The sequence below is a fragment of the Homo sapiens genome, chromosome 1 (genome assembly GCF_000001405.40).
Source record: "Homo sapiens chromosome 1, GRCh38.p14 Primary Assembly".
Classification (NCBI taxonomy): Eukaryota; Metazoa; Chordata; class Mammalia; order Primates; family Hominidae; genus Homo; species Homo sapiens.
In genome coordinates this window covers 198,787,784-198,790,039 of record NC_000001.11, presented here as the reverse complement: position 1 = coordinate 198,790,039, position 2,256 = coordinate 198,787,784, and the positions used below count along the sequence as shown (strand labels likewise).

At 36.2% G+C, this 2,256-nt stretch overlaps 1 annotated feature.

The window, feature by feature from the left end:
* Positions 1,190-1,309: a silencer, noted in NCBI's record as "silent region_1667". NCBI's record gives its function as "represses an Ori minimal core promoter by ATAC-STARR-seq in GM12878 lymphoblastoid cells {active_cell/tissue: GM12878}" and the evidence as "EXISTENCE:reporter gene assay evidence [ECO:0000049][PMID:35858748]".

Here is a 2,256-nt window from a genome sequence, read left to right as displayed (position 1 = left end):
ATGAGATGTATTGCATAAGCATAAAAAATAAGTTCACAACACTTTCAGACACAAATGTAGAAAATTAGGAAAATAGAAGTAAGGCCAATAATATTCAGGGTAACAGAACTGATTTTGCTTTCTTTTGGAGGACAGCTCATATAGCTAAAGATCTCTTACAGTTTGTTGAGATTGAAGGAAGCACAACTATTCATTAAGAAACCCTATTCTTATCCTAAAAAGTGATTATTGTAAAACAAATGCATACATACTGCTTTCTTGAATAGATACAATATTTATGTAAATATCCTTTTTCATAGTATTATTTATATTTTGACTTTTCTATGAAGCACTCAGTTTGTCTTATATTATCTCATTCCTTTTTTAAAAAATCACATACCTAATAGCTAAGATCGTAGATGAATTGAAAGGTGATAGAATAAGAACTTAGCTGTAAAAGGTTTTTTCCAAAGGCACAAGATAAAATCAAATCAACTCTATTCATATAGAAGGGAATTGAAATTTCCAGTGTTGATCTAATTTGATAGCTGAAAATGATCCATACAGCATTATGTTTTTTTCTTCAGAAAACAATCAGCTTAGTGGTGAGCAGGAAGTTAAGGAACCTAAAATAATTCCTTTATATGGTATGCAGAGCGTTTTTGTCATTTACTTTTCTCCTATCTTTGTAGACTTATTCACTTTATAATTCCTGGCTCACTAGTTTCTCATTGGCATTCTCCCATCCTCATCACCCACCCCCAGCAGGCCTGGAGGGGGCTTCAAGAAACTCAGAAAGCTTTGTAGAGCACATTTGAAAACAACTAAGCAAGAGAGGAAAACAAGCAGAAAGACACACAGGCTAGATTTAGAAAATGGTTTAGAATGTTTTCCTCATGGCTTTTCCTAGTAAGGTAAAGGGCCAAAGTAGTTCACTCCATTGATATTTGAATATTCGCCATCGTAAGGCCTTTCTCACACATGGGATGATAATATTCTATAATTCAGGTATGTGTTATTAGGTATAAAGGAGATAAGAACTACCTGAGACCTAATAGTATTTAATAAAAACTCCAAATGTTCTCTATTTTGTTATCATTAGTTCCCGTGACAGCACTAGATGAAATCTCCCAGAAGAGGGAGCTGTGGTCGACTGGAGGTTTGCCCTCCCTCTACTCAGACAGGTCACACTGCTAACAGTGGGCTATGGGTTGCTATGGTTATCACAGAAGGCTGCTGAATAGGGAGGGAACTGTGACAGCTGCTGTAATGTGGAGGGGCCCTTAACCCCTGTAAACTTTTGTGAAAGTGGTTTCCTTTGTGATGAGCTTGAGATATTACACTGCTTACTTTCGTGTTGCCTGTGTATATCCTGAGGTCAATAAAGTTTCCTAAGATTGTGTGACCCAGGCTGGTGTTTGCCTTCAAAACATTACCCTGGCAACCAGAGGGAAGCCTCAGCTACAGAGAGAGGTAGGGGCATCCTAGTGACCTTTTGTCTGGAATGTACCTCCCTCTCTTCTTGAGAAAATTCTAATCATATTTCAAATGTCATTTCTTTTCCTGAAGTTTTCCCTACTCGTTCCCCCAGACCATCTCAGAAAAATCACTTCCCCTTCTGTGTTCCTATTGAGCTTTAGGCCAAATTGCAAACACAAAACAACTACTTTAAGTTGAAGTGGTAGAAAAGGTAGCTACACAGCTTTGCAAATTTAGTGTCAGCATATCTTCATCTCTCAAACTCAGGTGGGCATCTGTTTTTCCTAAAAAAGCCAGGATAGGACAAAGTCTATTTCAATTAAACTGTAGGCCAAAGGGATGTGAGGAACGCAAGATGCAAAGCAGAGAAAAAAAGTCACACAAATAGAAAGGCTATCACTGCATCAATAATTCACCAGTGACAGGCCTTTAGAAGGTTTACTGGGAAGAAGTAACTCAGTTATATACAAAGAGTAAATAATCTGAATTTAAATGAATACCAAAAATGTCAAAATGGGCAATTTTTCTGCAAATAACCAAGAGAAACCCTAAAATAAAGAACTCATATTCCAATCCAGATTAATACTTATCCAGAAAATGTTGAGGTCTTGTACTTCAAAGAAAAAGAAAGGAAAAGTACCTTTAGTTATGAGGGGGTTTTTGTTTGTTTTGGTTGTGTTATTATTATATTACTTTTTAACTAATGTCTAATAATGAAAAGTATAGTAATAGCTATTAATAAAATGTACTGATAGCTTATGACGTGCCAGGTACTGTATACTAAGGACTTTACATCAA